This window comes from Homo sapiens, chromosome 2 (assembly GCF_000001405.40).
Source record: "Homo sapiens chromosome 2, GRCh38.p14 Primary Assembly".
Taxonomy (NCBI): Eukaryota; Metazoa; Chordata; class Mammalia; order Primates; family Hominidae; genus Homo; species Homo sapiens.
This window is the reverse complement of record NC_000002.12, coordinates 169,162,767-169,189,360: the sequence shown is the minus strand read 5'-3', so window position 1 is coordinate 169,189,360 and position 26,594 is coordinate 169,162,767. Positions and strand designations below refer to the sequence as shown.

General features: G+C 40.0%; 1 protein-coding gene across 4 annotated transcripts in view; it reads left to right on the top strand.

Annotated features, from left to right (window-relative positions):
* Nucleotides 1–26,594, top strand: part of LRP2 (LDL receptor related protein 2) — a 235,426-nt gene that overhangs the window by 173,174 nt on the left and 35,658 nt on the right. For 3 of the 4 annotated variants that reach the window (NM_004525.3, XM_047444340.1, XM_011511184.3), the window contains 14 exons: nt 1,096–1,391; nt 3,342–3,858; nt 7,042–7,194; nt 7,743–7,913; nt 11,335–11,558; nt 12,773–12,950; nt 13,972–14,168; nt 15,197–15,442; nt 16,137–16,265; nt 17,227–17,346; nt 18,694–18,810; nt 19,543–19,659; nt 20,685–20,822; nt 23,307–23,429. In NM_004525.3, coding sequence (NP_004516.2) covers nt 1,096–1,391; nt 3,342–3,858; nt 7,042–7,194; nt 7,743–7,913; nt 11,335–11,558; nt 12,773–12,950; nt 13,972–14,168; nt 15,197–15,442; nt 16,137–16,265; nt 17,227–17,346; nt 18,694–18,810; nt 19,543–19,659; nt 20,685–20,822; nt 23,307–23,429 — 2,726 coding nt within the window. The remainder of the gene's footprint in view (nt 1–1,095; nt 1,392–3,341; nt 3,859–7,041; nt 7,195–7,742; nt 7,914–11,334; nt 11,559–12,772; nt 12,951–13,971; nt 14,169–15,196; nt 15,443–16,136; nt 16,266–17,226; nt 17,347–18,693; nt 18,811–19,542; nt 19,660–20,684; nt 20,823–23,306; nt 23,430–26,594) is intronic. The other variant, XM_011511183.4, reaches the window with a different exon arrangement.

The window sequence follows — 26,594 nt, the reverse complement described above, 5'->3', positions numbered from 1 at the left end:
ACATGCACACATTTTGCTGTAAATCATGTTGACAAGGCCCTGGGTTTATGGATGGCAGTGCTGGTTAGCAGGCCTGGTTATAGGTCAGTTGTAAAACTGACCACATTCACCGTTGTTGCCTTCACATTTTGTAATGCTCTATGTGCCGCTCCTATGCTTTCTATGATAAATTGTTCAAAACCATTAGCTTTGTTCACTCTTATCAAAGATTCCTTGATGCATATGTGAGACCCCCTTTAGACATCATAACTTTTATGGGATCTTGGAGTAATATGGAGAAGAAAGGCCAGTTTGGCTCACAGAACTTCAGGAAATTATATTGTTATAATGATGCCTGTGTATGTTAGGTCCCGAGATAGCTTCTAGTACTACAGCATGCCTTCTTCCTTTGCCAGTATGCCATGCTAACCTACTAGCTTGCCTTTATTCACATCACCATGAAGACTCACATCTCATGATAGATGGCAGGAGTGTAATGAAAGATGGAAGGAACAGGACTGACAATGTAAACGTTATTCCAGTGGGAAGATATGTGTTCTTAGAGGACACACCCAATAATCTTATTTATAATATATAGCACTCACCCTATGAGTTTCCATTTGGGTATGGGCACTTTTATCATGTGATTACCCAGTACATTGCCAGTGCCTACTGGCTATCTCATTATCTGTTGAACATAGATAGTGCCACTGTTCATAAGCTGTCTCATAGATCTGATGTATACCAAAATTACAAAAGTTGTATTTAATTAGTTTATCAACTAAGGAAAAAATGAATGCAATTATTTTTAATAGCTATAGACCTACTAATTATCTATAGCTATTAAATGGTAGCATTTAATGGTAGCATTTCTAATGGTAGCAGCCAGCCCCTGAGGAAGTTGTGTGGAATGCCAAATATTGGATTCTTCTAGAATTGGCGATTAGTGGGGTAGACGAAGATGATGGGGGAAAGGGGATCAAGGACACTGGTGATCTTGTCGAAATGGTTGACCTGGCATTTAGGTAGATAAAGAAGGAAGCAAAACCCCAAGTGGGTAATAGTTGAGGTTTATTGCCAACCTCTCTGAAAGTGGTACTGGATCTCATGATACAGGTGTGACCGGCACAATGACTGTGGTGACTATAGCGACGAGAGGGGCTGCTTATACCAGACTTGCCAACAGAATCAGTTTACCTGTCAGAACGGGCGCTGCATTAGTAAAACCTTCGTCTGTGATGAGGATAATGACTGTGGAGACGGATCTGATGAGCTGATGCACCTGTGCCACACCCCAGAACCCACGTGTCCACCTCACGAGTTCAAGTGTGACAATGGGCGCTGCATCGAGATGATGAAACTCTGCAACCACCTAGATGACTGTTTGGACAACAGCGATGAGAAAGGCTGTGGTGAGTACAACAGAGGATTTGGGAAAAGGAAACAGGGGAGACTGAATATGGATTCTCAACCCTTCACGACTTAGACTTTCCAACCTGTCCTCTAACTACAAAGTTACCATAAAATCACTATTCCTGATATAGCAAAAGGTTACCAAAGTTTCTTGGTATATAAGATGGGGACACACATTTTTTTGGACCAATTCTTTGCTTAGATAGTCATTAGAGAGAACAGAAGATGGGCAAATATTCAGGCCATCATTTAACATTATTGCCAAATAAGGTACTCAAGAATGAAGGGAACCAGGTTGATTCTCTTTGAATTCTTGTAATGACTTTTTGCCTGAAGCATCCCTCTGCTAGAACTCGTTGGCCTGTTCTTCATTTTTGTCCTCAGGTAATTGAATGGGAGAGTTTAATATCTCTCTCACCCCAACCACCACAAGTAAAGCAGTTGAGAATCCACAGCATGGGCATTGTTTGCTTAGCACCATCTTGAACTCCATAATATTGGCAGTTCGTCCTGTTTGTGGTGTTTAATCCTTGTAACCATTGTTTCATGTATGTTGATATTGTCTCTGTAATAACAATTTAGAGACCATATCCTTTCATTTATTTTGTTTTCTTTATTCCACTTGTTCATTGTCAGTACTCATTGAAAGCATTTGCCTAATTGACCCAGAAGTATGTAATGTAGTTTTTATCCTTATATGAAAGATAAGATTTATATGAAATAACATTAAAATTAAATGCTAGACAGAAACTGCTGTGGAAATGTGGAGAAGAGATTATCTATGCATAATATTAAAAAATCTGTGCAGCAAACCACCATGGCACGTGTTTACCTATTATAACAAACTTGCACATCCCGCACATGTACCCCTGAACTTAAAAGTTGAAGAAAAAAAAAGAAAAAAATTTAAAAATCATCCAAAAACTGGCTTTTGCTCTATTGTAAGAAAAACTTCTATAAATTTCTACCAAAGTTTCAAAAACCATTTAATAAATTAAGAAAAACATGTGCTATATTATACATTTATACAAAAATCATAGGGAACTTTCTTATGTTTACTCCTAATTCATATAGATTCCCATTGCATTTTAATTAATTTTGCCTTACCTCAACTATAAGAATTAAATCCTCAATAGTACATAATTCAAATTAAAATTTTTAGCTTGAAGACGAAGTGATCTCAGTAGGTCTCATCCAAACCTATGAAACATTCACTCTTACAACTGGAAGGAGTACTAGTGATCTTCTGTACCCTGTTCTCTTTGCAGATAATAAGACTGTAGCCCATAGATGGGAAACGAATTGTTTGGGGGTGCACAGTGAACTAGTGGAAGAGCTTGGCCTGATATTTGGATAATGGATTTTGCAATGCATGAAGTTTTAATCTATTGCTCCTTGATGAGTAGAGAACTAATAAGAACTTGCTGTCCTCCCTCTGTAGATCATTTTTGGGTGAGGTTGCCCATGTGTTACAGGACCAGCCAGAGGGACATGTAGTGTTGTGTTGCACCTAGTGTTGAGCTCATGCCATCTCGTGAGAGGCAAATGTGTGTATCTCTTTGTGGTTCCATGTTCAGTGATGTCACACTGGAAGCCTGAGCTTGACCATGGTGTGAACAGTCACACTGGAACATGCTACAAATCAGAGCATTTAGAAAATTTTTCCTGAGTCCTGTTTGACCAGCACACTGGCCAGGCTCTTTTCTTCTCCTCTTCTTTCTCATTTCTCCTGTATTAGTTGTTGAAACCACTGATGAAGGAGTAAGTTGGTGAGGAAGTTGAAAAATAGTGACTTTTCAATAATCCACAGTCTTTGGAAGTCTTTGTTGTCTGTCTTAGCATGATTCATTAAGAATTGGCACTGTTTAGTAGAAATGTTGACTTTGAACCATTATAGTGAGTTGGTCGTTGATATTTTAGGATCTCTAAGAACTGCTTTTTACCTACAGGCATTAATGAATGCCATGACCCTTCAATCAGTGGCTGCGATCACAACTGCACAGACACCTTAACCAGTTTCTATTGTTCCTGTCGTCCTGGTTACAAGCTCATGTCTGACAAGCGGACTTGTGTTGATATTGATGAATGCACAGAGATGCCTTTTGTCTGTAGCCAGAAGTGTGAGAATGTAATAGGCTCCTACATCTGTAAGTGTGCCCCAGGCTACCTCCGAGAACCAGATGGAAAGACCTGCCGGCAAAACAGTAACATCGAACCCTATCTCATTTTTAGCAACCGTTACTATTTGAGAAATTTAACTATAGATGGCTATTTTTACTCCCTCATCTTGGAAGGACTGGACAATGTTGTGGCATTAGATTTTGACCGAGTAGAGAAGAGATTGTATTGGATTGATACACAGAGGCAAGTCATTGAGAGAATGTTTCTGAATAAGACAAACAAGGAGACAATCATAAACCACAGACTACCAGCTGCAGAAAGTCTGGCTGTAGACTGGGTTTCCAGGTAAGAAAACACTGATGAGCTTTTTAAAAGTTAAAAATTAAAAAATTCTAACCATGTTTTCATCTTGATAGGAAATTAATTTTTCAACTTGGGTTAATATGCAGATACATTTAATGTTTCTGCAGGTTTATTTTCTGCTTTGTATCTGATATTCAAATGATAGATTCAGAACAGAATATCTAATTATTTTAAAAATTTATAGTATCATTTTTATGGAAAGAGGAATTGCAAGGGAAGAGAGTTCACTGTTGCTGGCCATTCACTTAACTGGAGATGATATGAAGGGACGATTCATGCATTCATTGGTGCATTCAGTCGTTACTTCCTGAGTCCCTCCTACATGCCCAGCGTGATGACAAGCAGCAGGGGTTTTGAGGGGAACAAGGCAGACATGGCCCTTGCTCTCCTGAAGTACATAGCCTTGCTTACAATACTTGTCATTGGCCGGGGGCAGTGGCTCACGCCTGTAATCTCAGAACTTTGGGAGGCTGAGGTGAGAGGATCGCTTGAGCCCAGAAGTTCAAGACCAGCCTGGGCAACATGGCGAAATCTGTCTCTAAGGAAAATGAAAAAAATTAGCCAGGAAAGGTGGTGTTCGTCTGTAGTCCCAGCTACTCATGAGGCTGAGGTAGGAGGATCCCTTAAGCCCAGGAGATGCAGGTTGCAGGGACTGAGAACATGCATGGCACTCCAGCCTGAGTAACAGAGTGAGACCCTTTCTCAAAAAAAACAAAACAAACAAAACAAAAAAAACAACCAATACTAGTCATTCCCAGCATGGGCTGGGCGTGAAAACTGGAGAATGGCTAACATGAGACTCTTGTTTTGAGATTGCCCTTATGGAAACTGACAGTCTTTAAGGCAGGCCAGTGATATTTTAACTAAACTACCAGATGAACCACACTTCTTAACATCTCTATTGAATATCAAATCTATCGGATTCTTGGCAGCATAAACTAATTGGCTTTGTGGTCAATAGACATCAATCTGCAGGCACTGTAAAGATGTATGCTGTAAAGATTCTTGTTGCAGTCAGCCCAGACCTCCAGAGGGCTCTTCCCCACATCCTTATATTTGACTCCCTTAAGGGTAAAGATCCTAAAATGGGTGGGGACAGTTGGCTTCCCAGTTCTCCCTGACCAGTAGCTGGCCTGACATAGGTGCTGAGTGCTTGCTGGATAATAAATGAAACGTTGACTAAGCATTCCTATTGTATGTATCAATTCCTGTTTTACGTATCCTACATGTCAAAAAGTATAGTGATTAATGATTTCCAGGAACAGAACTGAGCATGGTACTGTTCTTGTCACCATCCTTTGTTCCACTGCAGAAAAAATAATATTTGAACTGTAAGACATTGTCATTCAGCCCTCTCTCTCAGAAACTGCTAGAATGACGTTTCTCTTGGATTTCAGCTATTTCCTCTCTATCTCGGTGTGTTCTTTATCAGAAGAGAATTAAATACATGTGAGGAAGATGGGCAAGAAAGTCTGGGTGAGGGTAGGGTAAACTTTTCTTGAAAGTCCAGGAGGGTGCACAACCAGGCTCAGTGTTCCTGAAAACACAAAGGCAGAATGGAGCCCAGTTACATTTACATTGGTAGGGGGCAGTTCTAAGATACTAGCTACACTGAAATTAGAAACAACTTTTTTCTCCAATATTAATAAATATTTCTGCTGTCAGCATTAGGGTGTTTGGTTTCCAAAGCCCTTGCATTTGATATAACTTTTTAAACCACCATTACGCACATTGGAAGATACTGTTGGCTCTCAGTTATCTTAATTTTTCCAGTAGTGGAGACGGAATATCTTCTCCATGTTTTCTTGAGAAGAATCTGTTCACAGGATGTCTTTTGACTGTGGAATAAAGAGAAATTAATGGGAAAGCAGTAAGCTCAACAGAGTAGAGTGCCCTATGGGGTAGCCAGTCTGCCAGGACTTGAATGGTAATAGCAACAGGAATACTAATACGACAAGAATAATAATAGCAACTCCTTCTAAGCCTGTTGTGATCTGAAATAATATAATGTTTTAAAAAGTCCCTGGTCTGAGGCCTGGCATTTAACAAGTGTTCAATAATTAGCTACTATTATTCTCACTGTTCTTAGTGTCTACCATGATGGAATCCAAGATTGTAGCCATCTCATTCATCAGGATTTACTCATTTACCCAAGTGAATTAACTGGCAAGACTTGTACATATATGGATACTCATTCTTTCTTGCTGAAGCCTGAAGCGATGCTACTGTCCTAACTATTCAGATATCCAGCATGAATGGTTAAGCGCGTACTTGTTGCAAAGAGGCATTCAGGTCTTTTGGAAGGGAAATCATTCTCCTTCATTCTCCTTCCGGTTGGAATTGATTATCAAATCCTAAATGACCTTCTCACTATAGGTGCATTTAACCCTTTGGAAGGTTATGGATGCTATAAGACTCTGGTGAAAGCCCTGGGCCCCTTTAGAAAGTACACAGATCACCAAAGCTGGCTTCCCTGATTCTGGGTAAAGACCTTGGGTTAAGAACACTTACCTTATAAGAAAAATAAATTTTATTGAATAAAAATACATTTATAACAGAAATGTCCTTGAGGTAGCAGTTTCTAACAGATCCTAATATGTTTCTAAAGCTTCTTAGGTTTGATTAAGTGAAATGTGTCTCAGGTTGAGAAACTCATTTTGACAGCCTGTCTGACAGAGGCAGGGATGTCTCTTTATCCTAAGGATGTCATAATCTTTATCTTAAGAATGTCATAATTCAGAGTTTCTCTGTGCAGTTTCAATGACACACTTAGACAAGTGTGTTTCCTTGACTCCACCATTTAAACTGTAATTCATGATACTCACCTCTGCTTCCCTGTTCTGCTAAGCCTTTGCACTGCCTGGAGAGGGTGCCTTATGCTGCATGAGGAAAGTAAAACCAGACCCGTCGAATGAAGTGTGTCCCCCGTATTTTCTACATGACACCACCTTAAAGTGGGAATTATTGCACACAGTCTTGCACCCTCTGTTGCCTCACTGCAGGAAGACAAACTTCCTGTTTTCCCCTGCCCTCATTTGCCTGAAGAAAGGTGACTTCTAACAACTGTCTGTGATTCTCAGGTAGCTTGGGTAGGAAACTGGGTGGCTAAATATGTACCATTTCACAAAGTGACTGTATTGGTTAACTCCTGGCTCTCCATTTTAGAAAGCTCTACTGGTTGGATGCCCGCCTGGATGGCCTCTTTGTCTCTGACCTCAATGGTGGACACCGCCGCATGCTGGCCCAGCACTGTGTGGATGCCAACAACACCTTCTGCTTTGATAATCCCAGAGGACTTGCCCTTCACCCTCAATATGGGTATTGTCTCCCTGCAATCCTGGGCTTTTCTTTCACCTCCTTCTTCTGCCTCTGTTACCGAGAAGGCTGTTCATGTAACTATCTCAAGGCCAATGTCTTGCTGGGGTTTGTCTTCTGCTTTTCCTACTTGGTAAATTGTTTAGTGTAATGAGTAGAAGCATGGCTTCTTCAAATCATCATCATCAGCTCTTCTGTTTTCTTTTCCCTGACACACTTTTGCACTTTTCAAGTCCTGTATTTTGGCTGCATGCAAAGAAAACTGTGGTTTCAGAAAACCGATTTCTTTACTGGACTCTCGAAGTCAAAGCCACTGAAATCCAGTTAACTATGTTTATTTGTGAGCATTTTCTGTACATTGTCCCCTTCCTTTTTCTTTTTTAGATTATTTGCTGTTAGCTCTCTTTCTTTTCTGAATGCAGAAAAGAATTCAGAATGCAGTCTGCTCTACAGAATGCAGACTCCATTTCTCTAAATGGAGAAAAGGTGTGTATTTTGGCTACTGACTTCTTTTGGCATCAGGGACTGACCCTTTGTGTTTGCCCTGACAGGTACCTCTACTGGGCAGACTGGGGTCACCGCGCATACATTGGGAGAGTAGGCATGGATGGAACCAACAAGTCTGTGATAATCTCCACCAAGTTAGAGTGGCCTAATGGCATCACCATTGATTACACCAATGATCTACTCTACTGGGCAGATGCCCACCTGGGTTACATAGAGTACGTACATAGAAAAGCATAAAACAATTGTGTAACTGTTTATTTCAAACATCAGAGCTTGTGATTCCAGTCTATTAGTCCCCTCTATTGTCTAACTGGCCTGTCTGTTGGAAGTCATTCGGGGGAAGTCACACTTCTAACTAAAACTGCTGAGCTCTATGGTATGGTGCAGTAGAAAGAGGGTGAACTTTTAAATCATATGGATCAGGGTTTATGACCTGATGTTTTCACTTCTTATTGTTTTTTTATCTAGAAAATGGGGCTAATAATCTCTCCCCATGGTAGTCAGCTCAGTGTGCAACTCATCTTAATTTTTTTTATCTCTTTAATTTGCTCTCCCCTATGAAATATATGATTAATAAATTTTAGTATTTGAGAAAAGGAAAAGAATAAAAGGATCTGGAAAACTTTCCCTAAAATACTTTGGCACATTTATGGTTAAGTGCAGTGCAGTGTTTTAGGTGGCAGTAGAGTCTGTTAACATTAATCCAATATGATAAGGCATTTACATCTTTCTGGTAATAGGATAATTTTTAAGTGTGTTAAATATACTGTTCAATAAAAAATACTCATTGTAAAAAGATGATACACATTATTAATCAAAAATTAAACAACAATACCCATATTGAATTTTGCTAGTTATGGCCTAGTTGGACCATAGTATTGTCTTCTGCATAAGCATTTATGGATAACGATCCAGGAACAGCCTGTTGCACTCAGAAGCATGGAAATGCCATTCATTCAGTAGAACTATTTCAAATTTTTTTATTTTATTTTTAGAAATTCCTTTCTTCTGTTATATTTATTTTGCTGCCAAAGTCAGTGTAGTAAAGTTTGAAGTTCTCTAACACCATGCTCCCTGGGGACATGCCACTGAAAAAGAAGGAATACCTGGCACACACGCCAGTGCTCTTTCTTCCTGTGCTCATGGCAGGCATAATTAATCAATCCAAGTACTTTCTCTTGTTGAACTGGTTCATTTGCTACACTAAGGTAGCCTTTAGCATTCTCATTGCAGAATTTACCGTAGCAGATATTAACTCACTCTTAGGGTAGAGACTAACTTTAATTAGAAGCAGTACAATATTATTTCTAGTTTACTTATACCATTTTGATGTGATATGCTGATGGTAATACCCTTAGCCCTTCCCACAGTGTGTGTATCCTCTCTTAAAAGGCACATCAAAGAGCTGAGTTAGCTTTCCATATAATCCTATATTGAATTAGTAGAAGCATCAAGATGTTCAAAGAAGCTTCAACAACTTTCTAACTGACATTTGTTGTTCTTTGGGTCCTATAGATTATTCTTGGTCTTGAAAGCTTAGTAGGTGTCACTCAGCATACATTTAGACAGTGTTTCCAGGAGCATTAGAGATGAAAAAAGGAATTTTCTAGTTACACAATATTCTGTTCACTTTTTGATAAAATCTAATATAGATTATTTACGTAGATGGATTATAAAATTTAGGCAGTAGATTTTAGTCTAAAAGTCAAATCATAATATGAGGCACTGTGATCTGGGAATAAAGGAAACTTTAATATTCATGAGCCATGTTAAATTGGTTACCTCTTGGAGAGGTAGCAATGCCTGTGTTCAGAAATATATTTCATAGATGCATAAAGCAATAGATTTTTATAGAGCATGCAATTGATTCCTTGTACATCTTGGGATGCACCAACACATCACTGGAGCTGTGCCTGTAGTTCTACTCTTACTTTTTTTTTTTGAGATGGAAATTCGCTCTTGTTGCCCAGGCTGAAGTGCGATGGCGTGATCTCGGCTCACCACAACCTCTGCCTCCTGGGTTCAAGCAATTCCCCTGTCTCAGCCTCCTGAGGAGCTGGTATTACAGGCGTGCACCACCACACCTGGCTAATTTTGTATTTTTAGTAGAGACAGGGTTTCTCCATGTTGGTCAGGCTGGTCTCGAACTCCCGACCTCAGGTGATCTGCCTGCCTCTGCCTCCCTAAGTGTTGGGATTACAGGCGTGAGCCACTGCACCCAGCTGTGTAGTTCTACTCTTGACAAAAAGTACTCATAGAGATATCTGAGATCTCTCTACAGAGATTACAGATGAACTGGAAGGGAAGGTCTCAGGACTACTTTCTGGTCTATGATTTTTTTAGAAAAACAGATGGTGGCTAGGTGCAGTGGCTCACACTTATAGTCCCAGCTCTTTGGGAGGCTGAGCAGGGCAGATTGCATGAACTCAGGAGTTCAAGACCAGCTTGGGCAACATGACGAAACCCTGTCTCTACAAAAATTACAAAAATTAGCTGGATGTGCTGGCACCTGCCTGTCCCAGCTACTCAGAAGACTGAGGTGGGAGGATCACTTGAACCCAGGAGGAGGAGGTTGCAGTGAGCCAACATTGTGCAACTGTACTCCAGCTTGGGCAACAGAGTCAGACTATCTCTAGATAAATAAATAAATAAATAAATAAATAAATAAATAAATAAATCAGATGGTGACTAATTTCTGGTCATTTACCTGCATCCTTATCAACAAAGGCCAAGCACATCTTCAAGTTTTCCTATGACTTTTATAAGTTACCATAAATTATATTTTGGGAAATATTTTTAACATTGCATGGCTAACATTATCAGGTTTCTTAGTTGCTAGCTTGTTCTATCTCCTGTTTGAGTTTTAGGATCTGTTCCAAATTTTTAAAATATTAAATTTTCACTATTTTAGAAATGATTTCTGATATAGACCCACAGTAATGAAAGCCCTTGGAACTGAGAGGACTTGGGAATTTGGCTGTGGATCCTTTGTAACATCTTGAAATCGGAGAACCTTCTCTGGAGGTTTATTCATCTGTAAAAGTATTCGCTAATGGTGCCATGGCACGATTAATAATAAATGTCCTGCTGGTGTTTGCAAAGTTAACCCTGCAGGCCTGTAAGTTGTGTTCCCCTCAGGTTATACTGAGAATGCAACTATCTCCTAGAATAACGTCCCCTCCGGAATGTTAATGAGAAGGTAGAATTCCAGTATAATATTGCTATCTTCTGATTTCTTCCAATGGTGTTGGAAGAAACAAGAATGGTGTTCACCCCAGGATATCAAAAGGGTGCTTAATGAGGAACATCACTATAAGAGGCCATAAACCTACAACAGCTATAACAGCTTCATCCGCAGGAAAGCAGCTGTGGTTAGGAATTAGTGATTATTTAAACTCCTGACACTATTCCTATTTTGTTAAGTATTGCTTTTTCACTTCTACATCTTTTGTTCAATTTGAATTCATCCTTTAAGTTTAATTTTTGTTTTAATTAAAGACTAGGAGTTTTGAGGATCTGAACTTATATTATCTCTAGGAGGTAGAATTTTATTGATTTGTGAATTCTTTTATCCTGCAAGACATTAGAGGAGAGGAATTACCTTTATCACATAACTGTTTCTGCTTACTGCTGCAGGTACTCTGATTTGGAGGGCCACCATCGACACACGGTGTATGATGGGGCACTGCCTCACCCTTTCGCTATTACCATTTTTGAAGACACTATTTATTGGACAGATTGGAATACAAGGACAGTGGAAAAGGGAAACAAATATGATGGATCAAATAGACAGACACTGGTGAACACAACACACAGACCATTTGACATCCATGTGTACCATCCATATAGGCAGCCCATTGGTGAGTAGGTGATTGAGGGGTTTGGCAAGGTTGCCTTGGGTTATGTGCATGTCATGATTGTCTTTAAGCATGAACTTCGTGATTTACAAAAAGTTTGTTGCACTTGTTAGTGTTTTCTTCAAAGCATATGCTGAAAGTTGACAGTAGGCAAATATCTTTAGAGTTTATCCCCCTTCCCCTGGGAAAGACTACCTAGAACTCTTCATCTTCTTAAAACTCGCTCAATTCTTCAAGATCATCTTTTTTTTTTTCCTTTGTTTTTGATAAGATTTAACAGTTATCATGTTGCCATATTTACTTCATCTATTTCTATGGGAAGACTGAAGTATTTTAAAGGAATTAAAAATATGGCATTTCAGCCCTAAATACTAAATACTAAATAAATGCATATGATATTGTATTGTGTATAAATTAGATATTATTCTTATCTTCTAGAAGATAATGTCAAGAGCAGTGCGTTTTAGTGTTTTTTAAGTAAGAGAACTTGTTTTTATTTGATTGTGAACTTATATTCCTTTTATGCAATTAAAGCAACTTTATGATTTAGAGTCTGAAATAAAGATAAAGGTCTGAAATATATTTTGGGGATAGACTGGTTTTTGTGGGTCTGCTTTGTTGTGATGTCTTGCTAAAACATATGATAAACTTGGAATTAAGGAAAAATGAGAATTAGCAAAATAAAGAAATTTAGTATTTCTTTCTGGAAGTTAATATTCTTCATATCATTTTTATTAGAAGTTCAAGCAAATATTCACCTCAAAGTGGTGACCAGGAAAATTAGTAAAGATGCTGCTCAGTTTATTCATCCACATTATTTTTGGCCAAACTTGTTACCTGTATACTTAGAATGAGGGAATGAATATAGCATCTGTTGGAAATTAAAACTTTAACCTAGGTCTAGGCAAATGAACATAAGCTAAGTTTACTGCCTGCTTTCCCAGGACTTGGAGAAACACATCTTTTCTAGTCAGAAACACCAGTGGGTATAGCTCACTTCTGGTAGCATATAAATGAGCTTTCTTAAAGCACAGGGTTGTTGCTTGTATAACTCTATCATCTGTTTTATTTAGGAACTTTTGGGAAAATCATAAATCTAGGATAGTTTTTTTTTTACTAAGAGGTGATGAGTTTAAAGTCAAGATGTGTAATCAGCTAATCTGTGCTTGATACTCTCTTTCAGCAAATGAACACATATTTTCTTCCTTTTCCACTAGTGAGCAATCCCTGTGGTACCAACAATGGTGGCTGTTCTCATCTCTGCCTCATCAAGCCAGGAGGAAAAGGGTTCACTTGCGAGTGTCCAGATGACTTCCGCACCCTTCAGCTGAGTGGCAGCACCTACTGCATGCCCATGTGCTCCAGCACCCAGTTCCTGTGCGCTAACAATGAAAAGTAAGGCTCTCTTTCCCCTCTCCTCAGTGCCTCTCTAGCCCGTGGACAGACATTGACCTTCAAGGCTCCAAGGGATGGGAGTTTTCTAGTGAGACAAGATTTTGGTTAATTAACTTGGTTCATGTGGAACACAGCAAGACTCTCAGCCTCCAACTTCAGATAATATTTTCCATGAATAGAAGGAGCTTGCTAACCAAACTGTTATGCCTATATATGCAAACTTTCATAGAAAGGAAGCAAACCATATATTTCTCATTTCTAATTGTCTTAAGTATTGGAGCCAGAGTGTATATAAGTACATACTGAAAAATTGTCCCTAGAAGTAATAGAATTTCACTGTCTTTTCCATGTCTATGCCGGCCTAGCTCCTTAGCTGCCTATGCTAGGGGATCCAGGGTTACACATTCAAATCCATTTTTGATCATTTGTGTTTGCTATGAAACATGGCCACAGATTATTTTCTTAACAATGTCCACAGGCCCATTGATAACTAGGGGACCTGAGTTAGAGAGTGGCATGGAGAGAGGCATTAATGCAGATCATAGCATCTAAGATGCAGAGGTAGACGATTGTAGTGATTAAATAAGATATCTGAGATTAAGAATCTAGCATACATTTATCGTGAGAAAGACCCTCAACAGTTTTTATTGCCCTCCAACTTCCCAAACAATACTTTTATATCACCCTGGCAGACAATCTCAACCAATCACTGCTCCTAGAACACAGCTCAAAACACCCACTCTTTATTTGTTTATTGTTTTTTTTTTGTGGAGGAAATTTATTCATCATATTAAGAGCACATTTTCAGTTTGTATTTGGATCTTAAGAAACCTGTTCTATCTTGCCAAGTTATGTTTTCTCTGAAAATACACCATTGTAACTGAGATTTAATTGATCCTCTTCTAGGGCCACGAGAGAGCTCATGCATGTCATTTCTTGGAATTCAGTGTTGACTTCTTCTCTCCAGATAACTGTTGCCCCTGGTGCTTTGCTAAAGAAGTGCTGTATGTTCTCTGTGCAGGTGCATTCCTATCTGGTGGAAATGTGATGGACAGAAAGACTGCTCAGATGGCTCTGATGAACTGGCCCTTTGCCCGCAGCGCTTCTGCCGACTGGGACAGTTCCAGTGCAGTGACGGCAACTGCACCAGCCCGCAGACTTTATGCAATGCTCACCAAAATTGCCCTGATGGGTCTGATGAAGACCGTCTTCTTTGTGGTGTGTTGAGTCGCTTTATGCCTCTTTTTCCGACTTCTATGTTGATTGTATACGATCATGATTCTGTGGGTATTTCCTGAATATCATGAACTAAAAACCAGTTCAAAGTCCTAGAAGGAAACTCAGGCTCCATCCTTTTTCTATTTTTATGAAGTTTTTTTTTTTTTTTTTTTAGAAATCTTAAGGTTTTTACAAGGCAAATGGTTGAAGTAGACAATAAGTTGTCTCTACTGGTGGCTCTTCACCATGTGCTGGGCATTGAATCCCCTTTGAGAGCTAACATTGAGGAGGAAACGAGAGGTTTCCACCCCCATTTTTAACAGGGACTCTCAGTTGTCATATTTATTTATGTTTCCATTTAAAAGGCAAAAAAAAAAAAAAAAGACTGAGCACAGTGGCTCATGCCTGTAATCCCAACAGTTTGGGAGGCTGAGGCAGGTCGATCGCTTGAGCCCAGGAGTCCAACACCAGCCTAGGCAACATGGCAAAAGCCTGTCTCTACAAAAAATACAAAAAATTAGCCTGGCATGGTGGCATGTGCCTGTAATCCCAGCTACTTGGGAGGCTGCAGTAGAAAAATAGCTTGATCCTGGAGGTTGAGGCTGCAGTGAGCCGAGATCGTGCCACTGCACTCACTTGGTCTCAAGAAAATAAATAAATAATCAAATAGGCACAAAATAAAATTCCCCCAAACTAAAAACAACACATCAATAACAGTAACAAACACAAAGTTTGAAGACTATTTTCCAGTAGGAGAATAGGGACAGAGGAAGGTATGCTTAACAGGTCAGGGTGTTCAGTTCTTATCTCTTAAGTCTGTATGCAATAAAGAGATATTTAAGAATTTGGGAGACAGTAATAGTCAAAAGAAGAAGTGCTCCATGTAGTAGTACTGACTGATAAGTACATTAGGAAATAAGTCCTCTAAAAAGAAATCATGATCCTGCTATCCAGGATTCACTGATGTCAATTAGGAGCTTTCATTCTTGATGCCTTCCAAGCTGATAACCAAATGTCCCTGCTCTCAGAGAATCACCACTGTGACTCCAATGAATGGCAGTGCGCCAACAAACGTTGCATCCCAGAATCCTGGCAGTGTGACACATTTAACGACTGTGAGGATAACTCAGATGAAGACAGTTCCCACTGTGCCAGCAGGACCTGCCGGCCGGGCCAGTTTCGGTGTGCTAATGGCCGCTGCATCCCGCAGGCCTGGAAGTGTGATGTGGATAATGATTGTGGAGACCACTCGGATGAGCCCATTGAAGAATGCAGTAAGTTCCTGTGGGAGGACCAAGGCATGACCAGAGCAGGGAGACACGAGGAAACTTCCATGGGGACTGAGAGAGGACATGGAGCTTTCTTTTTCAGCTGATGGGATGCTCCCCCTTGGCACTCCCTGCAAACTCTGGCACTGCAAGGCAGAGTATAGCTGTGTGGCTTGCAGGTGGAACCAGACTCTGTTTCTGAAGTGGCTAATACCTCCTTTTGATACATAGAATGTCTAACCAACCAGAATATGATACCAAGAACTTATATTTTATATATCTACTGCTTTCTCACTTGAGCCACAGAGAAATGTTATGAGGTAGGGAAGGTGGGTGTGAACCAATTCCATTTTACAGATGAGGAAACTGAGGTTCACATTAAGTGGATGGTTACATTACTGTTTAGTGTCAGACCTAACACTTCAACCCAGGTTTTTTACTTCAAACCCTGTCCTTCCCCAACCCCACCCACAAAGTTATACTGTAAAACAAATGAGTGGTGCTGACATATTGAGAAAACTTAGGACTATTTTTCTGCTCATGGTAAACAGATCACATCTAAAACAGACACATATCGCCAGAGGCGGTTTGCTTGGTAACATGGTCATTGTTATTCCTCAGTACCACAACCTCAATGTGACAATGGAAAGGTGCTTTCTTGTACCTTCAGTTCTGACTTTGATGCCTCCTCCCTTTTCAGTGAGCTCTGCCCATCTCTGTGACAACTTCACAGAATTCAGCTGCAAAACAAATTACCGCTGCATCCCAAAGTGGGCCGTGTGCAATGGTGTAGATGACTGCAGGGACAACAGTGATGAGCAAGGCTGTGGTAGGAGGGGCCACAGGGGAGTGGAGGGAGGGACAAGAAAGTGCACATGTCAAGTGCCATTTATTAGATGAGAGATGAGAGTGTATTTCCCATGTCATCTTTTCTTTGTTTACCTCTGTAAAAAAATGGTTGATTCTTCTAATAACATGTTACATTTTTGTAGCATTTTGCAGGGTTACCAGGGGTATTTAATTTGTAGCACTTTAAGTCATGCTGTCATTGAGGAAGACGTTATTAAGATGTTAGAAACTTGTGTAATTTCTTCCAAATGTAGAATCCTTATTCATACTTGACAAGTTTAAATTGTTTCTCTAATTTTATAAATTGGTTGAAATTGGTGGAAAGGGGTTAGAGAAAAGACTTCGTATCTATCTCTAAAAAGGATATTTCCAAATTAGGATATTTCTTATTTGGGGATTTTCATATTCTGAATGTCTCTCTGATTTTCCCTGTTATCTATTGGACATCTGTAGTCTCTCTGGTAACATGGGAAAGCCAGATAAATTAATGGAATTTGTCAAGATTAGTCATAGTCTAACTTGAAACCAAAGCATCTGGAGTATGTGTGTTGGGTTTAGTTGGAAGAGAAGTAAGGAAGATACTAAATTCTTTTAAGAACACTGAGTCCAATTGACTGAAGATAATATGATCAAAATATTTATTTATTATGGCATCATTTTAGCCTCCCATACCAGGCCTTTGTTGCAAATTACAAACCAGATACCATTTCATTCTTTGCATGGTTTCTACCAATGGGAATGGATCGAGTTTCAAGTGGTAGGATAGGCTCAGGGTAGCTAAAAGAGGGAATGTTGACCATGAATGTTGCTGGCATTCCTCTCTTTGGGAGCTTCAAGAGTGAGCTAATACAATTCTCAGACTGTCTCACAAGGAAGCCAATACTACTTTGTGCATTTCTCTGCCAATGGTTTATGAAGTCTTTGCAATGACTGCTTTGCAGAGGAGAGGACATGCCATCCTGTGGGGGATTTCCGCTGTAAAAATCACCACTGCATCCCTCTTCGTTGGCAGTGTGATGGGCAAAATGACTGTGGAGATAACTCAGATGAGGAAAACTGTGGTGAGTGTTCACAGTCCTATGGTCCTTATATACCACCAGAGCTGTGATGTTTGCTTTTTGTCCATAATTCAACTGTCTATGTCATTGATCCTCAATGGGTAGGATGATATCAAGCTGTCTGATCTCTTTCTTTCTGCTGGTCAGTACATTTCTACTTTCTCTTCCACTAAAGACATAAGCATCTCCTTCTGAGATGTTTCAAATCAAGCTTTTGGAGGAAGGTATTTACTGAAGAATATCTTTTATGTGTTGAATTTATTTACATCCAACTTTTTTTTCCAAAAGAAGTTGAGGTGACTTATGATAAAGGAAAAATGTAATAAGATAAATAGAATAGAAATAGAAAACCAGGACCAGAGAAGTAGAGGGAGGAAGGGTGCTAACCCAGAGACACTGCTTCTTAAGCTCTTTCCCCAAAATGGCCTTCATAGGAGAGGAGAGAGAACTTGTGTTTGCATTATTACCCTTCCTAGAATAGTTGACTATTTTAGGAGGGCTAACAGTTAATTAACAGGACAGGTTTTAGTTTCTCTCTCCCAGTCGAAGGTATTGACTACAAGGCATTGGATAGGGAGGTTGAGGAAAGGAAGCCAAGAGGCTGAGATCATATCAAATTAGATGGTCAGAACACACTCAATGTGTGTTCTGAAAACAAGCTTAATGAAGCCCTGCCCAGAGTGTATATCACTGACCCATGATATGCGTCAATTTCTAATTGACTAATGAAACACATTCTAACTTTGTTTACCTTTTGGAAGAAAAAAGTGATCACCACTTGCGATAAGCAATGAGAGATTTAGGAAGCTGACTACACCTGCAAATATCAGTTAGCTAAAAACTTATACAAAAGGGTAATCCAATTGGCATTTTGTCTTTTATTAATAAAAGTCAATGTTGAATCCTATAAGAGGTTATCTAGAGTTTCACGAAATAGAAAAAATTAAGATAAAATCAAGCTGGGCATGGTGGAACACACCTGCAGTCCCAGCTACGCAGGAGCCTGAGCAGGGAGGATTACTTTAGACCAGGAGTTCAAAGTCAGCCTGGGCAATGTTGAAAGATCCTGTTTCAAAAAAAAAAAAAAAAAAAAAAACAGAGAGAGAGAGCAAGAGAGAAAGAGAGATCAGATCACCTTTGGACAAACTTCTTAATAAAGGCCATTCTTTACAGACTCAAAATTAAGGTGAAAGGTCTAGTTTTGGAGGGTGAATGATTTGCCCAAGCACACCTCTGGGGCTTGGGACACAGGAGGGTGCTGGGCACCCAGGGCACTATGGTCAGCTCACAAGATGTCTCCTGTATGTGATTCCTGGTGCACACTCATGGCCAGGTGCCTTTCCTTTCCAGCTCCCCGGGAGTGCACAGAGAGCGAGTTTCGATGTGTCAATCAGCAGTGCATTCCCTCGCGATGGATCTGTGACCATTACAACGACTGTGGGGACAACTCAGATGAACGGGACTGTGGTAACTGTCATTTGAGAAGCTTACCATAGAATTTTGTACTGTGACAGTGTAGGGGCTTCAAATTAGTGTTTATAAGGCTTTTAGAGGAAAATTATTTTTGTATATGTGTAATATGTAAACCTTAGCATAACACAGTATCTTCTGCTCTGTATTTTCTATGCATTATTCTTAACTCATAGCAGTCTAGATTAGTCATAATTGAGGAAAATAGCAAGGAATTTTAAACATTTAATTTTAATATCAACACTTCTTAGGAGCAGATTTTAATCTGCGTTAGCCTTGTAAACAAAGACATTGATCTTGCTACTATTCCACGGAAAGTCACCCTAAGGAATATGCATGTGCTCCTATGACTCTCTTGTGTAGAGATCAGATCATTGACAGAGTAATCCTAAACCCAAAGTAATTTTTATAGCTCTTTACTGATTTGGTGTTGGGTCTTAGGAAAATTAGAAAACATTGAAGATTGGGGAATTCCGATTTCTGAGGAAAAGCTTAAGAGCTGGAGATTATTTAATATTAGGGAGCTAGGTACTTCCATCTCTGTATGTTGAGTGGGGAAAGTGTGAGTTTTGAGAATGTATTAATTTGCTAACCACAAGTTGTGGGTTTGCTGTGAGCCAGTCACAGGGTGTAGATAGGAATGTGATGGAGTAACCACTATACTCCAGGTACCTAATATCTGTCTGAAAATGACAAGGCCTTCTCGGAATGACAATCTTTTCTCTTCAGAGATGAGGACCTGCCATCCTGAATATTTTCAGTGTACAAGTGGACATTGTGTACACAGTGAACTGAAATGCGATGGATCCGCTGACTGTTTGGATGCGTCTGATGAAGCTGATTGTCGTAAGTCCCTAGACACATATGTAGTACTGCTTACCTGAGAGCATGGATATGATAGTTTAGACATCAGTCCGCTGCCGCTTCTTAGATTAAAAGGCCATAAGTATTGTCTGTTCAGCATGCACTGATAATGATCAGTTCACCTGAGTTCTAAGTCATCATAATCATACATTTCACAATGGCCGTTCAAGTGTACTTCCTTGCTATTTTAAATGGAGAATATATTAAGTAATCTGTGCTAACAAAGTATTTATATATTATCAGCTACTATACAAATCATTAATTAGATAAAAAACATTTCAGGTAAAAAAATATTCAAGCAACGAATACATTAGTATAAAGAACTTGGGTTGGGTATTCGAACATATTGAATTTATAGCATTAAAATTTTTCTCAGTCACACGATGGAGTATAAAAATGATTAAAACTTGAAGGGGGCCAGCCCCTCCACACCTGTAGGTATTTCTCCTCAGGTGGGATGAGAGACTGAGAAGACTGAGAGAGATCAAAATGGAGTTTCTTATGTCTTCCTTTTCTACATAGACACAGTAACTGTCTGATCTTTCTTTTCCCTACAAAAACTGGAAAGCCAACATGATTACTCAGATTTGAGTCTTTATGGATCACTTGAATCAATGCAAACTGTTTATACATCATTATTGCTGATCCATCAACAATAACCATCATCCATGATAACCATCCATGATGGTTATCGTTGATGATGTGGTTGCCAAAGAGACTTTATAAATGTATGTGGGTAAAACCAGTCTTGACATTTGCCTGTAGAGATTAAGTCCAGTGCTGTCCATGCCATGGATGATTCATGCCATTGGAAACTGACTGGGCTCTGACAACTGCCCTTAAGACATAGTCCGTTCAACTTTCAGACAGGTCAAGGCCACTATACATCTTGATGAATAAAGAAGAGCAGGCTATAATGGCAAGAGCCAAAGGAGAAATAGCAGGAAGCTTCCCCAAAGTAGTCAATTTGTATAATAATTTGAATATGTTTTTTTCCCCCATGGCAGCCACACGCTTTCCTGATGGTGCATACTGCCAGGCTACTATGTTCGAATGCAAAAACCATGTTTGTATCCCGCCATATTGGAAATGTGATGGCGATGATGACTGTGGCGATGGTTCAGATGAAGAACTTCACCTGTGCTGTAAGAGGGAGAGAAACGGAGTGAATGGGAGTGGTGTTGTCTGTCAAATCTCATTGTTTCTTACGTGTAGCATGTGAGCCTGGAGAGCAGTTGTACAATTGTTTAGGAATGGACACAGGATCAGCGTTGGTGTTATTTCACTGGGTCTTCCAGCTTCAGTTCTCTCTGTAACCTGAGAAAGTTGGGAAAACCTCCATGTTTTTAAATGTATTATGGCCTTAGAAAACAATGTCTTTAAGGGAAATGTTGCTTGAAAACCTAGTATGCATAAATAAAGGCAGGTCTGTTGTGGTTGAAGTCTGAGGAAGGGTAGGGAGGAGGCTGTACCTCTCCTGCTGTATCCTACTTTGGGTGCCCCTGAAGTACCCTCTCCAAACCCCTAGAGCTTCCTGGAGCACCTTTAGAAAATGCTAAGACTTTCTTAATCTTTACAGTCACTTCCTTTTAACATGGTAATTCAAGGCCATCTAATTCCCTCTTGCTGAATGATGCATATATATATATATATATATATATATATTTTAAACCCTGCTTGTTTGTGAGTCTCAATTCAGGTACATGTCAGTAGCAGAGGAGGAGGGGTATTTCAAAATCACATGCCCTGGCCTCACCCTAGGCTTAGACCTGATGGAGCAGAATCTCCAAGAATGAAGCCTGCACATACGTATTTTTAAAAGGCTTCTTAGCCTTTTAGTTTAGTCCCCTGGTTGAGAACTACTGATTTTAATGAAGTGAACGTAAATAGAGTTTGTTGCAGTCATTTTGCTACATGCTTTGAGTCATTGGAGGAACTCTAGGGTAATAGTTCTCAAAAGTGTCTTACCTGGACTAGGAATGTCAGTGCCACTTGGGAATATGTTAGAAATGCAAATTCATGGGATGCACCCTATCCAAATAGAAATTAAAAATCAAGACCAAAAGAAGTAGAGGAAGGAAAGGCATTAACTCAAAGACCCTGCTTTTTGAGCTCTTTCCCCAAAGTGGCCTTAATTTTGTGGGAAAATTAAGGGCCCAGCAATCTATACATTAACAGGCCCCTCAAATGATTCTGATGCAAACTAAAGTGTCAGGATTTTGTGTAAGTAAAAGCCCTTAACCTAGGAGACAAGACCTGGAGAAGCACTCCTGTTGGAAGTTCACGTTGCATCTTCCATCCCCTTTCCCAGCTTCATCACTACTCATTTTTAGCCCAGAGATTTGACTTGTGAAGATGATATATCTTAGTATTTTGTTTCTCCTCAGAAAACTTTAATTAGTGTTCATTATATTTCACAGTTGCATCCCAACATTTTTCTTTACTTGTTAGGAACTAGCCTTGTTTTGCTTTGAACTTCATGAATCTTGAGACACATCTTAGACATGTTTAACTTTCAAAGAAGTCCTTAGGAAATCTCTTCTCTCCATAAGGTAAAATGCCCATAGCTAGTAAAAATAAACTTTGGAGAGTCAGAGACACAGCTACATTAAAAGGTTTCCAATACTGTTTTATAATATTGAACTTGCCTTTCACAGCAAATAATTATTGCAATAGTTCTATTAACAATACTTCCAAGAATCAGCCCTTAGATCTGACCCTTTCCCCTCAACCAATCTTATTATAAGTCTCTCCTCTTGATCCCTGTGTGTGATACCAAGGCGGAAGGAAAATCAGACAGCCCAAATCCTCCATGTGAAAGACAGACCACATGTGAAGACCACATGTATGTTGAGTTCACTGCATTTGTGGTACACGCATAGTGAACCATGTTCCCTGTACCAAACAAGTAGGGGACCTGGGGACTACCCTTGAGTTCCTCACATCTGTACAGGCAGCAGCTAGAGGTCTCACTCTGGACAGCAAGTGTGTCAGGGTTTGATTGTGAGATATCGATTTTAAATGTAAGAGGTGAGGGAATTCAGGAAGGAAAATCCAACACAATTTAAAGCTTCAATAAAAGACTCATGCGGTAGAGACTCTATGACAACTGCCATCAGGAGGATCAAACAAATGGCTTCCTGGCTGTTAGGATAAGAGTCCATGTACTGCCAGTCTGTCCAGCCTCACAGCCACCATTGTGCTCCACGATCCATGCTCCAGCCACCGAGGCCTTTATTCAGGTCCAGAGACCTGCCATCCTCCTCTCTGACTCAGAATCTATGGGAAGTTTCTTCCAAGCCTTCCTCTCCCTAACTTAAGTCAGATCACCCCAGTAGATGTTTCATAGTTGTAATTGAATGGTTAATTTGAAAAGCCTGTTTCTCTACTAGAATGAAAGTTCCATGAGGACAAGGACTGTGTCTTTCTTGTTTCCCATCATATCTACTGCCTAGCACAGTGCCTTGGTGTGTACTATACATGTAAGGTGTATCTGCTGATTGATTAATCAAATGAGTAAATGAGTGCATGAATGAAGCAAGCCTGGTGCTGACACTGGAGTATTTTAGATATTGACACTTAGATTCTACTGTTAACTTGTAATTTCATTTTTCTATCTTTCCTTTCAGTGGATGTTCCCTGTAATTCACCAAACCGTTTCCGGTGTGACAACAATCGCTGCATTTATAGTCATGAGGTGTGCAATGGTGTGGATGACTGTGGAGATGGAACTGATGAGACAGAGGAGCACTGTAAGCAAAAGTCAAAAGGGAGAAGGAAAAAGGAAGGACCCCAAGTGGTCTGCAGTTTGGAAAATGTGCCTCTGGGATTTCAGTTTGTTCTATAGAGTTGTGCCCATGACTGCAGATCTCTGCTGACATAATTGTTTACAAGACCATGCAAACACATGCATTGCTTACATGTAACCCTGCCTGTTTCTTCCTGTCTCATTTGAGCATGATGCTGGCAAATCCATTAATTTTTCAGTCTTTGTTTGAACATTTAATAAGCCTTCCCCTCCTCTTTTCTCATAAGAAACTGAGAACAAACACTAAATACTGATTGAGCCACACCTCGCAAATTAATAGTTTATTTTTTCAAATATGAGATTTGATCATCCTTCAGCCTTCAGGAGTTGCTAATTGCTAATCTAGGCAGGTGCCCAGCTGCAGAGATCATGTGAAGCAAGGCAGCACTGGTGTTAACAGAGCTTATCTAATATCCTTGTTGAAAATGAAAGTTCATTTCCCAGAAGAGAAAAGTGATAGATTAGTTTAAGATAGAAGTTCCAAACTGGCTGCATTTAACAATCGAGGCATTGAAATAGCTGTACTTTTTCTGCACTTTCAAAATGTTTTAAAATCTATCCATTGAAGGGGAAAGTTGACCAATTTTCTGGGCAATTTAATTTGCCTAGAAAATGTCAGTGAGGAAAATCATTTCCCCGACTCCAATTATTTTTTTCCCCAAAAAGACATTATCTGGGAAAATTAAGATAAATGCCTGATTTCTCCACTTTCTATTTCTTGTATTGATGTGGTCTTAGAACGCTTTGCCACAGAATGCTTACTTCCAGCCCCCATCCCAGAGGAGACTGTCAGGGAGGACTTTGACACTACCACAACCTTCAAGTTCGTATTCCTGTTATCATTATTACTGGCAGAGATAGCATTAATACATTATAGCATTAATATGTTTATTTGAGGCATAGCGCAAAAGCATGAAAGCCCAGAAATAAAATATTTTTAAAGAATTTGAGCAGATTTCCCCCTTCCCCAAAATCTCTTTCCATTTCCCCTGCTAAAAATGCCATTTTTTAAAAAATGGAGCAAGACATTTGTAGCACATGGTCAAATCCCAGAGTGGAAAAAAGAATCCATAAACTTCTATTCTTTTCAAGGAACAGGGTTTTAGTCTGGGAGACCACTACCAGTCACCACAGGAAGCAACCTGCAACATTTCAATGGCTTAAAATGGCAAAGGTTCATTTCTTGCTCATGTAAAGTTTAATGACAGTCAAGCAACCCTCCTCCATCCCATAATTATGCCATCAGGGACACATTCAAGGTTGCCAAGGCAGGAGAAGATCAACATGGTGGAGGCACACAGCTTCTTAACTTCCTGAGCCTGGAAATGACAGACATCCTCTTGCTCATAGTCCATTGGTCAGAACCAGTCACGTGGCCCTGCTCTAACTGTAAGGGAGACTGGAAAATGCAAGAATATGCATTCTCATACAATTTACCCTTGTGTCACTAAATACTCCTTTATGATTTTCTTCTCACACACAGAACACCCTTAACCCCTTCCCAAGGGACATAGCTCATAGTCCATTCCGAAACTGAAATCCAGGACCTCTGGGTAATGGGCAGTAGCCACTCAATCAGTTCCAGATGTGGTTCCTCTTGGTTGGGAGACCCATAAACTAATAAACAATCAGTGCCTTCTGTGCCTGATAGGTATTGGCGGAACAGGGGCAACACAATAGAAATAAACACTCCCATTGGAAAGAAAGAATTGGAGACTCATGGCCATCACCAATGTATAGCAATTCTGAAGTCCCACTGGGCTGGGATGACACATGTTAGCACAGGACAGTCCTGATTCATGTCTGCTGCCCCAGTGGAATTATGAATAGCACCACCTTCACTTTCAAAAGCACACTGGCTTGGAAAGGAGAGTAAATTACATGGCCACTCTGGGCAGACATTGTAAAGGTCCCTTCTTTGGGGAGTGGAGGGTATTTATTGATTAGCTCATGCCTCTGCTCTGGGAGGAGCTCCTGTGTTAAAATGTCTCTCACTGTTTCTGACTCTACCCTTTGAGAGTTTTTTCTTGTCTATTTTCCTCTGCAAATGAAGAGGGAAAGGGAAATATGCTACCATTAGGGCCAGCACGGCAGCTTTCTCACCCCACTTCTTGCTTATAGAAGGTCGGGAGCCCAGGAGTTGTTTTTTGTTTTTTTTTCCAAGTCTCAAACAGTCATAGTATTTTGGTTTATTTGGTTATATCTTTCTCTCAGAAACATACCAGGCATTTGATCTGTTTGCTTCTAGCCTGTTCTAAAAGTTAGTAACCTGACCTAGTGCTCTTTTGGAGACATAGTTCTCAAATCTGCTTTTTTCTTTGCTTTCTTTCCTTCATAGAGTTCTGTCTGAACTTATTGTCACTTACATCCAATCCATGTAGAAAAATAGATGGGCAGTCATTTTATCCAATGAGGAGGTTTTATTGGGCCTTCGTGTCTCACAGCCTTTTAAACTTCAGACTTTTACTGTTTGGGATGTAGATACAGGTGGCTTTTCTCACACAGCAAATTTCTGGGCTTTATTTTATTTCTGCTTGTAAGGTAACCAGTTCTTCCCTTAGGTTCTCTCTTTCTTATACTATCTTGCCAAACTCAGGAATGGCAATCAATGCACATTACTAACATTCTATCTTCTAACCTCGCTCCATGATTGACAGGTTCAGTAAGCATGTGATCTGCCTTCCAGTTTTTCCGAGGTGATAGCTTTATCAAATGCTTTGACTTTGCATAACATGATCTCCACCTTTCCTGCCTCCACTATCAGTGTCCTTGTTGCTTGCCTCCTGACTGTTAATCCAATGCCAAATATTTTATGTTTTTATTATGGCAGTACTCTACTTCCCTCATCACTCTATGTTATTCGGAGTAATTAATACTAGCTGTTGCAACCAGCATATCCTGAAATCTCAGGGGTGTAACATAATGAAGCCTTATTGAGCACTCATAAAGGCCAACGCTGGTTTCACAGCCCTCCTGCATCTTGCAGCTGTGCTGCCTGGAACACATGGCTTCCAAGGTTGCTGCAGCAGCACAGGAGACACGGAGGAGGCACGTGTGCTTTTCATTGCTTCAGCCCAGTAGTGACACATGGCACCTCCAACTGACAGTA